This window comes from Homo sapiens, chromosome 17, assembly GCF_000001405.40.
Source record: "Homo sapiens chromosome 17, GRCh38.p14 Primary Assembly".
Taxonomy (NCBI): Eukaryota; Metazoa; Chordata; class Mammalia; order Primates; family Hominidae; genus Homo; species Homo sapiens.
Genome location: NC_000017.11, coordinates 59,055,629 through 59,069,133, shown reverse-complemented (window position 1 = coordinate 59,069,133; position 13,505 = coordinate 59,055,629). Strand labels below are relative to the sequence as shown.

Genomic DNA, 13,505 nt, shown 5'->3' with positions numbered 1-13,505 from the left:
CTCAAGTGATTTGCCTGCCTCGACCTCCCAAAGTGCTGGGATTATAGGTGTGAGCCACCATGCCTGGCCGCATTCATTGTACTAGAGTATATCATATAAGCCAGGGCTTTTCAATCTTGGCATTGTTGACATTTTAAGCAGAATAATTATTTGTGGGGTGGGGTGAGCTTTCCTGTGTTTTATAAGATGTTTAGCAGTATCCCAGTAGCACTCCCCACCCCACCACCTTGCAGTTGTGACAAAAATATTTCCAGACATTGCCAAATGTCCTTGGGGACAAAATCACCCCTGACTGAGAATCACTGTTATAAGCCCTTCTTACTCGTTATAGATGCCACAGTCCTATAAACAGAAGGGCAAAGTTTTTCTGACAGCTAGAACTCCAGTGGTTCTCATTGACCAGTAGAAGTCTTCCTTTCTTTTTGATTAACAACCTCATAAAATATTCATATCTTTTTAAAGCACTGACTTTTTTGTTTAAATCTCATTTCTGAATGACAGCACTGAATATTATTAAAAGGACTATGTATTTGCTGTCATTAAGTAGATTTGGTTGAAGAATGTTCACCAAAATCCCTAGGCTGCTTCATTGATACTGTGGTCAGCTATTTCAGTTTTGAAGATTTGTTTTCTGAACCATTTCATCCCCTGTGGAATGAAACAGATTTTGACCTAAGGGTCATATATAAAAATTAGTATTTTTCAATTCAAAGTGTGGTGCATGGATGACCTAAGTCAGGGCTATGTGTGGCATTTGTCTGAAATGCAAATTCCCAGGCCAATGTCCCCAGAATCTTTAGAGGTGGTATTCAGAAATGCGTCTTGAGCACTCTAAGTAATAATACTGCACTAAAGTTTGGGAACCATTGATGTATGTAAATTCCCATTCTTATACCACTTTCAGCAGCTCATCAGGCAGGCAACAATGCTCGCTAGTCTGTTAATTAATCACTTTCAGGGCCTTCTCTCTTTCTCCAGTAATGCTCACTACCTTATTGGAAACTTTGGCTTTTAATTTAATTCTTATTAGAAACCTGTTTTATTAGTTGCAACATACAGGAAAAGAGGGCCAAATAAGAAAGATCAGCATTCGTGACATTAAGTTACACATGAAACTTTAGATATGCAAAGCAGTGGTGTTTCTATTGCCTTTAGTTCTATCAGTTAGTAATTGGTGATGGAGCCACAATGGAGAAGAAAAGGTCACTAAATCAGTGAAGTGTTATTTATTAAAGACTATGTGCCCAGTATTGTTGTAGGTGCTGCATGGGAGAAGAGGAACTAAATATTTTACTGTGGGCTGGGCGCGGTGGCTCATGCCTGTAACCCCAGCACCTTGGGAGGCCGAGGCGGGCGGATCACCTGAAGTCAGGAGTTCCAGAGCAGTCTGACCAACATGGAGAAACCCCATCTCTACTAAAAATACAAAATTAGCCGGGTGTGGTGGTGCATGCCTATAATCCCAGCTACTCCGGAGGCTGAGGCAGAAAAGAAAAAATAAAAGATACAATAGTATAGCTGTCAGTTCATAGAGAGTTTTATGTTTCAGGGAGAAATAGTCAAGTTGATAAGGAGAACCAGTTTTTATATAGCTCAGCAGTTTATTTCCTTAAGAAACAAATGGATACTTGTGGTTCTCCCTTTTTTCCCTTTGTTGATGAAGTTATGATGAGGTTACTGGTCTGAAGATTTGCAGATCAGTGACTTCCAGATTCCTGGGCTAGAGATGGTTTGAGGGTAGTTTCCCATATTCTGTGAAGACAAAGATTCACTGACACCATCATGAGATGAATCCAGTCATCATAACCAGAGCAGTCTACACTTCTAAGAGAGGAGGAGAAAATTTTAAAACTATGAAAAGATAAAGCAGTGCCTCATCTGCAGACACAGAATGATAACATCAGTATGATTGAAGATAATCTCTAAATGAATGAGCATAATATGGAGATGTGGTGGTGGAATTAGATGGCCTAGCAGTAGCAATAGCTTTGTATATACATATAAAGAATGCAAAATCAGTGAGCCGAGATCGCGCCACTGCACTCCAGCCTGTGTGACAGAGCGAGACTGCGTCTCAAAAAAATAAATAAATAAATAAATAAATAAAATTTAAATTTAAAAAGCAAAGTAATTTCTTTCGCAAAAGAAATTTTTGAGCAAATATTTCCAACTCTACGAATCTGCCAGCAAGTATTTATAAACATTCATTCAGTGAATATATGCCAGCTATATTTTAGGCATGTGTTAAGTGCTAGCATTAAGCATAATACAGAGCTCTTTGGGTTTATAATTATGATTTAGAAAAACAGGTTATTGGAACAGTAATAAAATTAATGTGGTAACTGGTGATAGGGGAAGTAAGTATCCTGTTTAATGCTGCCCCATACCACTAATTTGTCATTATACTATTTGTGTCCAAAAAATTTTCCCTAGGAGAATGTACATATGTAAAAGTATATCACAGTACCTGTTTTCTGTGCTCTGAATGTGGTCATTTTCTCCTAGCAAGTGAGACTAGGGTAAACTGGACTGTACTCTCTTGGTTCATGAGTGTTAGTAACCTATGCTCTTTAGCCTGGAAGCTTTCTACTTCACCATTCTGAGTTGAAAATGGCATCTCTTGTTGTTTAATTTGGGTTCTGCTGAAGTCTTTTGACCCTTAATGGCCAATAAAATATGATAATGATAGTCTGGACTTAGAGCAGAAATAACAGTAACAACAACACAGGAAATAAATTACACTGGACATGGCAGAAGAAATAATATGCAGATTAGCAGGCAACTGGGGATTGATTAAAGTCTTTGCATGTTGTGGAGGATATTCTGTACTTGATGAGAGACCTGATTGAAAGTTGCACAAAATTTCAAAAACATGTCAAATTTGAAGGCTATACTGGGAAGACTCCCTTAGAGCTCTTACTAGGTTTATGGTTCCAGAAAGGCTTCCTAGGCACTAATTGCATTGGTCCTGCTAATTGGAGTTTGTGTATGTTGAGTGCTAGGAGATCATATAATGGGAAGACCTTAGAGCAAACCTCCAAGAGTATGTGACTTCTAATCTGTTATCTGAAGAAATAGTAAGGGTTAACCAGGCAAAAGGATATGGGGATGAGGAATGTGAGTCTTCTAAGAAGGATAACAACTGACTAGGGATATCATAGGAATTCTTGACATAGTCAATTTGGATAGTAGCTATACAGTTAATCACAGGGCAAAGTACATCTGCTTACTGTGTAAAAGACGTGACCTATTTAGCTATACGTACTTACATTGAAATAAAGAATTATTTGTCTATATTGTATTGCAAGCCACTAATTTCTTTAGACACTATCATAGTGTGGCAGTGCTATAGATGTATATTTTATCTTGTTTTGATAATAACCAAAATTATGATGAATTGAACTTTAGAAAATATATCTGAAGATGTGGTGAAATGGTTTGCAGTTTATTGTTTTGGGAAATTTGTAATTTTATATATCAAATTTATAACACTATTAAAACATCGTATGATAGTCTTTTTCATAGTATAGTGTTTTAATGAGTTTTGAGGTGTTCTAATGAAAGTGTACAAACCATCCACATGATTAAAGGTAGTTAGCAGCAAAGTGACTTTTAGTCCATTCTGTGATTATAATACAGTTCTCTCTGAAGAAGATTGGATGGGACTAAAGTTGCTTGAAGTAGTTTTGACTTGCCAAGAAAGTGTGAGTGTGCTAGTCCATCACAGTTGCCCCTTAGGTGATGAGGTATTCATCCTATAAAAATGTGTAGATTTATTTGCTAGTAAATAGTTTCAAAGTATTTGAGGTCTGTTAATATTTCCCATAATCCATTCCAGAGTAGGAAGTTTGGGGATTAATTGTGTTATCACTGACTGTTGTTTCATTTTTTAAAGGATGTTTTATATCTGTTTCATAATTCAGATTCACACCCTAAGCGTCAGTTTCTTTTTCCCATTTCCATGAGTACTTTTTAAAGTGTATTTCTTGTACTTAGTTTAATAATTATATAATGTGTTGCCTTTTTTTCTTTTAGGAAAAAAAGCTTTTATAAAGTATTTATTTATTGATTTATTGGTTGACTGAGACAGAGTCTGGCTCTGTCGCCCTCGCTGGAGTGTGGTAGTGCAATCTTGATTCACCGCAACCTCCGCATCTGGGGTTCAAGCGATTCTCGTGCCTCAGCCTCCCAAGTAGCTGGGATTGCAGGCGCACACCACCACATTTGGGTAATTTTTGCGTATTTTTAATAGAGATGTGTGGTAGTGCAATCTCGAATCACCGCAACCTCCACCTCTAGGGTTCAAGTGATTCTCGTGCCTCAGCCTCCCAAGTAGCTGGGATTGCAGGTGCACACCACCACATCTGGGTAATTTTTGTGTATTTTTAACAGAGATGGGGTTTTACCATGTTGGCCATGCTGGTCTTGAGCTCCCGACCTCAGATGATCCACCCACCTTGGCCTCCCAGAGTGCTGGGATTATAGGGGTGAGCCACCTCACCCAGCCAAAAAACTTTTATAAAGTATTTGTATCTCCAATTTAATTGCAAACTTGATGGTTTTATGAATTCATTTGATTTAATGTTATGTTCAATAAAGATTTAAAAATATTTCTTAGATTTTAGTTTAATAAAGTTTTTAAGATACTAGTGAGGGACTTGGCTTTTTTAGGCAAATGGAATTTTAAACATGTAAGCTAAATAATTTTTTTTGCCTTTTTTTTTTTAGTGAATTAGTGCCATCTTACGATTCAGCTACTTTTGTTTTAGAGAATTTCAGGTAAGAGTTTTTGACAATTCTGGTTTTTTTGTATGTGTATATAAGGAAGAGCCAGAAAGGTATTCTTTGGTAAGACAGTAATCTAGTGAACTGTGTCACTCACTTTAGAAGTCTTAGAAGAATAAGTTTCCTATTAGAAATGTAGAGATAATTTGTGCTGGATTATATTGTATCTTTAGACTGACTGCTTCTCTAGTCTGGGAAAAGGAACCTTTTCTTTTTATTTTGAGACTGGGTTTTGCTCTGTCACCCAGGCTGGAGTGCAGTGGCGTGATCATTGCTCACTGCAGCCTCAACCTCCTGGGCTGCAGCAATCCTCCCACCTCAGCCTCCCAAGTAACTGGGACTACAAGCGTGTGCCACCACACAGATGGGGTCTCACTGTGTTTCCTAGGCTGGTCTCAAACTCCTGGGCTCCAGTAATTCTCCCACCTCAGCCTCCCAAAGTGCTGGAATTATAGGCATTAGCCACGGTGCCCTGCCCAAAGTGAGGAACCATTTTAAATAAGAGAGATCACTTAGCTTTGACTAAGGTGGGGGGCTGGACAGTTAGAGGTTGATGAGCCCCCTCTTACCTATCCTCAGAAATAAAAGTGCTGGGAAGAAATCCATTGAGATCCATTTATCTCAGCTCAAAGTGAAGAATTGTGGATAAGGGGCCATTATTGTAAGAAATGTGTAGGCTTTGTCAGTTGTATGTTAATTTTGTTAGCTTTTACTACTTTTTCTCTTAAGATCAGAAGTGAAGATCGTAACATGCAAAGGTTCTTAGCAATTTGTCTTTGAGGGCAGCATGGAAGTGGAAACAAGGACTATAAGGTCTTCAGGAGAGAAACTCCAAATAATAGGCAAAGGCCATCAAAATAAGGCCACACTGGGCAGGGCATGGTGGCTTAAGCTTGTAATCCCAGCACTTTGGGAGGCCAAGGCGGGTGGATCATCGAGGTCAGGAGTTCAAGACCAGCCTGGCCAACATGGTAAACCCCGTCTCTACTAAAAATACAAAAATTAGCTGGGCGTGGTGGTGGGCGCCTGTAATCCCAGCTACTTGGGAGGCTGAGGCAGGAGAATTGCCTGAAACCGGGAGGTGGAGGTTGCAGTGAGCTGAGATCGTGCCACTGCGCTCCAGCCTGGGCAACAAGAGTAAAACTCTGTCTGAAAAAACTCTATCTCAAAAAAAAAAAAAGCCACACAGAATTTATCCCTCTTCCCATTTAATTTGTCTTTTCTTAGGGTTACTTTTGTGGCTAAAACATAGTCTCTTTGAGGTTTTTCCCACACGTATTAAGGTTTAGTGTACTCTTGTTCTTCAATATTAAAAGATGATTATACTGCAGAGAAGCGAGGAAGAAACATTCTGGGTTTTGTTTTATTTTTAATGGTGAAGACTGCTTGTTGAAGCATTAATTAATTTTGGGAGACTTGGTGATACATTCCTTTTCCCTTAAATGTCACAATTTTGAGGGTTTTTTTTCCCCTGAAACTTAAAAGATATTGCTGAATATTTCAGTATCTTTAAATTTTCTTTATTTCAGGATGTAAGCATATCTAAACTTTTACAGTGGAATTTTGACCTGTTCAGTCACCTTGTTATTTGTCTAGGATTTCAAGTATGTAACAAAGAAACTGGTTGGTCTTTCTTTTTGCCTGTTGCCATTTCACAACAGTTTTGATCTTGGGATTTGGTTGGTTTTCTTTTTCGTTAGCACTTTGCGTCAGAGAGCAGATCCTGTTTACAGTCCACCTCTTCAAGTTTCAGGACTTTGCTGGAGGTTAAAAGTTTACCCAGTAAGTTTTTCATATTTCTAATAAATTTTGAAACCAAGGTCTTTCTTTCAGAGTTCTGTAGTATACTAATTTGATTACTGAGAACTGTTAACTCTTCTTTTTTTTGTTACATATGCTGTCCGCATTCCCTGTTCCCCTTCTTCCCCCATATTAGACAACTGTTTGTTTGTCCACACCTTGTTCTCTAATACATTCTGCTGGAAGGCCTATTGGAAACAATGTTCCCTGAGTTCTCATATGTTGAAAACAGTTTTTGCCTTTTATATTCTAAGGCTAGTATTGCTGGATATAAAATCCTTGGCTCATATTTTCTTTCATTGGGTATCTTCAATATGCAATTCCATTTTCTTTAGGAAAAGTCTGATAATAAACTAATTTTCTTTACCTTTAAAGATGTTTGGTGATATTGCCTAGATGCTAAATAATCTTTTTGAGTCCAGTAATTTACTATTACACATTTTAGCCCTCCTGGGTTAGTATTCTCAGTTACACATTGAAGTCTTTCAATATGTAGTTTCAGATTATTTTTTTTTTTTTAGAAAAGTTTTGTATAATGGCATTACACAATAATATATCATCTTTTATGTCTGGCTTTATTCACCTAGCTGATGAGTCATTTATTCATTGATATCTACTGAGTGATTATCATGTCGAACCTCAAAAGTTGCCTCAGGTCCTTTCAAGCAAAGTAGACTAAAAATGAAGGGGTTAATAGTACTTGTACCTCTCTGTAGTCATATCCCAGTAGACACTGGAGATGTATAAGGATCTCTGTTGTCAGCCTTCATTGTCTCGTTGGGGGAACAGATGTTTAAACAAGTAGTTATAATAAATGTGATTCTTTTAAAACATAGACACCTGAAGTACTAGGGAAATACATAGGAAGTAATTCTCTTTTTTTAAAAGAGTCTTGCCAAATTAAACAAAAAGGGAGGGAGTAATTATCTTTATAAAAATAAAATCTATAGTAGAGATTTAAACAACTTCTCAATCTCTAGACAGAATCTTATATGGAATTCTAATATTAAAATCATATAGAAATTATATTTAATTACTTTCAGCATAGGGTATTACCTTTTTGTATGTTGGTCTTAAAAATTAATTTTTGGTTTAAAATTTTTTTTTGCTTCACTCATTTCTAATGAAATTATTTTTCCCATTAGGGTCTTGTTTTTTTATTAAGGTTGATTTGTAAGAGTTCTATATATGTTAAAACTCTTAACCTTTGTTGTGGTTGTTGATATTTCCCTTCATTTTTGTGCCTTAATAGTTTCACTTTTTTTTTAATGCACAAAAGTTTAAAGTTGTTAAGAACTCAAATCTATTGGTGTTTTTAATTATTTCTTCCATTGCTTTGAGGCTTAGAAGTACTTCTCAATCTAGATATCAGATATTATCTGCATTTTGTTTTATTGTGGCTTAATTTTTTTACACTCAAACTGATTATTCTTCTTTTAGGATGGAAATGGAGTTGTGCGAGGTTACTACTTATCTGTGTTTCTGGAGCTCTCAGCTGGCTTGCCTGAAACTTCTAAGTAAGAAGTGTAATTAAATAACAACCTTAATGTGCATTTACATACCTTCCCCCTAGCAATTTTTGTTAATTTTTATTTTTGTTAATTACTGTATTGGTATGTCTGTTAAGATGTAGAATAATATGTTCTTGGCATCATAGGATGGTATTTTTCTAAAAACAAAATATTTTTAAGAAAACTTGTATTGCTTTGCGTTTTTAGAAATCTCTTTACTATCTGGCTTAGAAGAAGACTACTGGATTCTCATGTCTGCTTTTATATTCAATTTTTTTAAAATATCATTTTGATTGAAATACATGTATGAAATCTGTCTGCAGAGTTCTACAACCATCACCAACATCTAATTTTATAACATTCTATTTACTCCACAAGGAATCCCTGTACTCCTTAGCAGTCACTTCCCATTCCCCGTTTCCCTCAGTCCCTGAGAACCACAAATGTACTTTTTGACAAGGAGGAATATTTTTTAAAGTGGTTTTAGATAATTGTGGATCTTCTTTGATATTACATCCAAACTGAACAAGTGGTAGGTTGTTAAATGTTATTTACAATGTGGGATCTGGAATCATATTAATGATTTTTTTTTTTAACTCTGTTACATGAAATCTGTTAGTTTAGTATGGAATGTCTGCTTTCAGCTAACATGAAGCAAGAGGGATGAGATCTACCCATTTTCCTGCAACAACCAAAAAAAAAAAAAGACCTCATGAAACAACATTTTCTAGACACTGGACATGGTGGTAACAAATGAAAGTAGTCCCTGAGAGATGAGAAACACAAACTAACTCTACAATTTCTCCAGCTTACAGCCTTGAGAGAGTTTTCAGGCTGCAACACAGGGAGGAGCTGGGACTGAGGGAGAATCTGGCAGACTTAGTTGAGGGGATAGTGCTGAGAGTCTAGAAAGGACAATACAGCTAGAGCGCATTGGACAAAATACCAGAGAGGAGAAAGCTGCAGAGACTGAAGTCTAGAGATCCGTAATGGGTTCCCCTTGAGTATTCAGCAGAGTACTTATCAGGGCATATGTCTGAGGAAACTACCTGAGATTGGGGAAAGAACTCCTTGACAGGATTAGAGGGAATAGTGAGTGACTGGTGTTCACACGGGGCCAGGAACTGTGTCTATTGCAACCTGCCACGGTGGAGAAATTTATAATTCATGGGTCACTGATTGGGTATAACACTAAGGAAGTTTTTGTCTCGATAGCAGAAATTAGCCCTAGACTGAACACTGCTCTGGACCCACCTAACAAAAGTGAGACCTGAAAGGATCAAATTGTTTTCAAGTAACTTAACTGCATCCCAGAAGGAAGCTCAAGAAAATTTATAAGGTTGCTGAAGTATCTAACATCCAACAGAGTAAAATTTACAGTGTCTTGTGTTCAGTCAAAGGTTAATATGCCAGACTGGCTGGCCCATACCTGTAATCCCAGCACTTTGGGAGGCCAAGGCAGGAGGATTGCTTGAGACCAGGAATTTGAGACCAGCCTGGGCAATATGGTGAGACCCTGCATACGTCTCAGCTACTCAGGAGGCTGAGGCAGGAGGATTGCTTGAGCCCAGGAAGTCGAGGCTGCAATGAGCTGTGTCCGCACCACTGCACTCCAGCCTGAATGACAGAGTGAGACCCTGTCTCAATTTATTTATTTACTTAATGTATTTTGAGTCTCACTTTATCACCCAGCTTGGAGTACAGTGGCATGATCTCAGCTCACTGCAACCTCTGCCTCCCAGGTTCAAGCAATTCTCCTGCCTCAGCCTCCCAAAATAGCTGGGATTACAGGCATGCACCACCACGCCCAGCCAATTTTTGTATTTTTAGTAGAAACGGGGTTTCACCATATTGGCCAGGCTGGTCTTGAACTCGTATCCTCAGGTGATCCGCCCACCTCAGCCTCCCAAAATGCTGGGATTACAGGTGTGTGCCACTGTGCCCGGTCAAGAATTCTTTATATATTTTGGATACTAAACCTTTATCAGACATATGATTTGCAAATAGTTTCTCCCATTTGGTAGGTTTTCTTTTCATTTTCTTGATAATGTGCATTAATGCACAAAAGTTTATAGGCTATCTTCTTTGTCTTTTTGTAAACCTGAAAATTTTACAAGATTGGATATATAAATTAGAATATATTGGCTTTCCCAATGTATACTTCTTTTCTTTTTGAGACAGGGTCTTGCTGTGTCACTGAGGCTGGAGCACAGTGGCACAATTATGGCTCACTGCAGCCTCAACCTCCTGGGCCCAGGTGATCCTCCTGCCTCAGTCTCCCAAGTAGCTGGGACTACAGGAATGCACTACCGTACCCAGCTAATTTTTTTGTTTTTTGTTTTTATGGAGACGGGGTTTCGCCATGTTGCCCAGGCTGGTCTCAGACTCCTGGGCTCAGGCGATCTGCCCACCTCGGTCTCTTAAAGTGCTGGGATTACAGGTGTTAGCCACTGTGTCCAGCTTACTTATTTTCTTTTTCCTTTTTCTTTTCTTTTTAACTTTTATTTTAGGTTTGGTGTTACGTATGAAGGTTTGTTACATAGGTAAACTCATGTCATGGGGGTTCATTGTACAGATTATTTCATCACCCAGGAATTAAGCCCAGTACCCAATAGTTATCTTTTCTGCTCCTCTCCTTTTTCCCACCCTCTGCCCTCAAGCATACCCCAGTGTCTGTTGTTTCCTTCTTTGTGTTCATAAGTTCTCATCATTTAGCTCCCACAATATAAGTGAGAACACGTGGTATTTGGTTTTCTGTTCCTGTGTTAGTTTGCTGAGGATAATAGCCTCCAGCTCCATCCATCCATGTTGCACAAAAAACATAATCTCGTTCTTTTTTATGGCTGCATACTTATTTTCTATTAGGAAATTTTATAGCCTTTGATTTTCTGAATACACAATAATTTGCTTTCTTATCACTTGTACTGGCAAAATACAGTAGAGTATTTCAAAATTTATATTTTAAAATTGCAAGGTGATAAACCTCAAAGGATAATAGAAATAACAATATTTATGAGGAAACATATGTAGTGAATATATGGAAAAAATATTGCATTAGTAAAACAAAAGCAACTTTGAATTACTTGTTTATTCAAAATTTATTTATTTTTTGAGGTGTTGTTTTATACCTGATATATCGGTAAACATCTTTACGAGGAAAAAAGGACCTATTGCCATTCATGTTTTGGTGGTTCGTTCAAAATACTGCTGTTTTGGCTGGGCGCAGTGGCTCACACCCGTAATCCCAGCCCTTTGGGAGGTCAAGGAGGGTGGATCATCTGAGGTCAAGAGTTTGATACTAGCCTGTCCAACATTATGAAACCCTGTCTCTACTAAAAATACAAAAAATTAGCTGGGCATGGTGGTGTGCACTTGTAATCTCAGCTACTTGGGAGGCTGAGGCAGCAGAATCACTTGAACTGGGGGGCAGAGGTTGCAGTGAGCTGAGACCCCGCCACTGCCCTCTAGCCTGGGCTACAGAGTGAGACTCTATCTCAAAAAAGCAAACAAAAAAATACTGCTCTTTTTCTGGCCGGGTGTGGTGGCTCACGCCTGCAATCCCAGCACACTGGGAGGCCAAGGTGGGTGGATCACCTGAGGTCAGGAGTTCAAGACCAGCCTGGCCAACATGAACCCCCGTCTCCACTAAAAATACAAAATTAGCTAAGCATGGTACACGCCTGTAATCTCAGCTACTCTGTAGGCCGAGGCAGGAGAATCACTTGAACCTGGAGTCAGAGGATGCAGTGAGCTGAAATTGCACCATTGCACTCCAGCCTGGGCAACAAGAGTGAAACTCCATCTTAAATAAATAAAAAAACCCCAAAATACTGCTGTTTTTATAAATGATAAAAGAAATGTAACTGCGTATATCAATAAGGTTTCTTCTCAGGTAATTACTTAGTGACCTTAATGTTTAGATGAGTTTGTTTTTTATTCTTACTTTACTAACTGTATAGTAATGGTCTGTTTTTCAATTTTAGATATGAATATCGTGTAGAGATGGTTCACCAGTCCTGTAATGATCCTACAAAAAATATCATTCGAGAATTTGCATCTGACTTTGAAGTTGGAGAATGCTGGGGCTATAATAGATTTTTCCGTTTGGACTTACTCGCAAATGAAGGATACTTGAATCCACAAAATGATACAGTGATTTTAAGGTAACAGGAAAAATTTGATGTTGTGGTTTTTATTGTGGGGAAATAATATCATCAGAACTATATTTCAAAGATCATTTGGTTAACAAAGATGAATATTGAAATTCATACTAACTATAACCTTATCACCTTTTTTTTTTTTTTTTTTTTTTTTTTTTTTTGGAGACATAGTCTCGCTCTGTCGCCCTGGCGCGATCTCGGCTCACTACAAGCTCCGCCTCCCGGGTTCACGCCATTCTCCTGCCTCAGCCTCCCGAGTAGCTGGGACTACAGGCGCCCGCCACCACGCCTGGCTAATTTTTTACTATTTTTAGTAGAGACGGGGTTTCACTGTTTTAGCCAGGATGGTCTCGATCTCCTGACCTCGTGATCCGCCCGCCTCGGCCTCCCAAAGTGCTGGGATTACAGGCGTGAGCCACCGTGCCCGGCCCCTTATCACTTTCTTAACTGTTTTATTTAAGTGGATAATAATCAAAAATTTGTAGTCAAAAAGTCAAACTTTTTTTGACATCTAGTTAGCAATTCCATTAAAGATAAGCTGGGTGCAGTGGTGCGCCGGTGTTTCCATCTACTATGGAGGCTAAGATGGGAGGACGGCTTGGGCCCAGGAGTTTGAGACCAGCTTAGGAAACATTATGAGACCCCCCATCTTTTTAAAAAGAAAAAAAAAAGGGGGTGGGTGGGAAACTACAACTTCCAGTAAGTATAGTAATGTTCCATTTGTCTGTTGAACTTCTAGTGACCTCACCATTTGGAAATCTAAGAATAGTGAGGGATAAAGTGCTGATTTTTTTCACTTCACAGTGCATATTATATTTGAGTGACTGGTTTTACAACTTAATTTTATAAAGCAACTATCAGTTCTTTGTCAATAACAGCAAATTAAAAGTAGAAGAGTCAAGATGAAAGTTGACGAAAACCAGCAATTTTCTACTTTTTTCTTAAACTTTTATTTTAGGTTCAGGGGTACATGTGTAGGTTTGTTATACAGGTAAACTCACATCATGGTGATTTGGTGTACGGATTATTTCATCACCCAGATACTAAGCCTAGTACCCAATAGTTATTTTTTCTTATCCTCTCCCTCCTCCCACCCTCCACCCTCAAGTAGGCCCCAGTGTCTGTTGTTGTTACCCCTCGTTATATCCTTGAGTTCTCATCATTTAGCTTTTTTTTTTTTTTTTTTTTTTTTGAGATGGAGTCTCCCTCTGTCGCCCAGAGGCGACATATCGGCTCACTGCAAGCTCTG

At 38.4% G+C, this 13,505-nt stretch overlaps 1 protein-coding gene and 1 pseudogene across 47 annotated transcripts in view; one reads left to right on the top strand and one right to left on the bottom strand.

Annotated features, from left to right (window-relative positions):
• TRIM37 (tripartite motif containing 37) overlaps positions 1-13,505 on the top strand; it is a 139,680-nt gene that overhangs the window by 37,747 nt on the left and 88,428 nt on the right. For 36 of the 47 annotated variants that reach the window (NR_148347.2, NR_148346.2, XM_047436110.1 and 33 more), the window contains 4 exons: positions 4,729-4,779; positions 6,486-6,567; positions 8,026-8,102; positions 12,080-12,259. Coding sequence is in view for 45 of the 47 variants with exons in the window: in XM_047436110.1 (XP_047292066.1) it covers positions 4,729-4,779; positions 6,486-6,567; positions 8,026-8,102; positions 12,080-12,259 (390 nt within the window). In the remaining 2 variants the exon portion in view is untranslated. The remainder of the gene's footprint in view (positions 1-4,728; positions 4,780-6,485; positions 6,568-8,025; positions 8,103-12,079; positions 12,260-13,505) is intronic. The other 11 variants (XM_047436117.1, XM_017024667.2, XM_047436108.1 and 8 more) reach the window with 1 other exon arrangement.
• RN7SL716P (RNA, 7SL, cytoplasmic 716, pseudogene) lies at positions 9,641-9,908 on the bottom strand (annotated as a pseudogene).